The sequence below is a fragment of the Homo sapiens genome, chromosome 7, assembly GCF_000001405.40.
Source record: "Homo sapiens chromosome 7, GRCh38.p14 Primary Assembly".
Lineage (NCBI taxonomy): Eukaryota > Metazoa > Chordata > Mammalia > Primates > Hominidae > Homo > Homo sapiens.
Window position 1 is genome coordinate 153,043,443 of NC_000007.14, and position 1,101 is coordinate 153,044,543.

Here is a 1,101-nt window from a genome sequence, read left to right on the forward strand (position 1 = left end):
GGAGGAAGGAACTTAGTATAGGAGGCAGATCTGGTGCAACCGTGGAGCTCCTTAGGCCATCTGGGGGAGGCTGTTGCCTCTGCATCTGCCGCTGGGCCTGAGGCTGTCCAGCAGGAAGGAAAGATGGACAGGGAGGCTGAGCAGCCTGGAACCGCACCTGCCTCTCACCCCTCTCATAGCGATGACGTGGCCACCTGCAGGAGGGGCTGCACGTGCCCCCAGCCCCAGATGTCACAGGCTGAAGGTGGTGTCCCAGCATGCGCTGCCCTGTGGCAGGTGAGCCAGAGGGGTCACAGACGACAGGCATGAGCCCCAGCAGTACCTGCCCTGAGCTCCCTTGCAGAGCATGGCAGTGGCTGCACTAGCACGCCCCCTCCAAGTCTCTTTGAGCTCTCTTCTGGCCAGTCCCAACCCAAAACCAAAAGGGAAGGGATGTCAGGGAAATGTAGGCCCCACAACTAAATAGACATATTCTGAAACAAGAACTCAAGGCAACAACAGTCACATGGCATGGTAAGACTAAAAGGATGTGGCAAGCTGAGAACAAAGATTTAGAGCGAGAACACCCTTTCAGCCATGGGCAGAAAGGGCCTCGAGACAGAGAAGAATGATGTCTGGTCTCAGTGTCTTCTGAATCTCCAAAATATCTGGCACAGAGTTGCTCACAGGTAGGTGGTCAACGTGTGCCAGGTAACCAAGAAATCACCTCTCTGGGCTGGATGAATCCAGGTAATTACAGGGCCTCATGGCAGGCACCCCGGCTCCAGCCACCACCTATGTGTGGGTGCTATTGACCTCTCTGGGATGTGGCCCTCCCGGATGCAGCCACTATCATCCTTCCATGACACTCCCACCATTCCCTCACCCTACATCTGCTTGTCATTGTAGAGTGGGTCCCTTTGGGGTTGCAGACTAGAGTGCGATAGGATCTACATTCTAGTCCTGGCTTTGACCCTGACCTGTTGTGACCCTGATGTGAGAGGGCCTTCCGTCTTTTCCAGTCCTGAAGCTCCTGCATTCCACGGTTCGCTGCTCTTTGGAGGAAGGGTGCCCGGCAAGCTCAGCGGAGGCCTCTCCTGTCCAGGGGGTTCTCACTGTCCA

The 1,101-nt window shown here is 56.1% G+C and overlaps 1 annotated feature.

The window, feature by feature from the left end:
• Positions 208-707: an enhancer, noted in NCBI's record as "H3K4me1 hESC enhancer chr7:152740735-152741234 (GRCh37/hg19 assembly coordinates)". NCBI's record gives its function as "activates a minimal SCP1, AML or CMV promoter by ChIP-STARR-seq in primed H9 embryonic stem cells {active_cell/tissue: H9 hESC(primed)}" and the evidence as "EXISTENCE:reporter gene assay evidence [ECO:0000049][PMID:30033119]".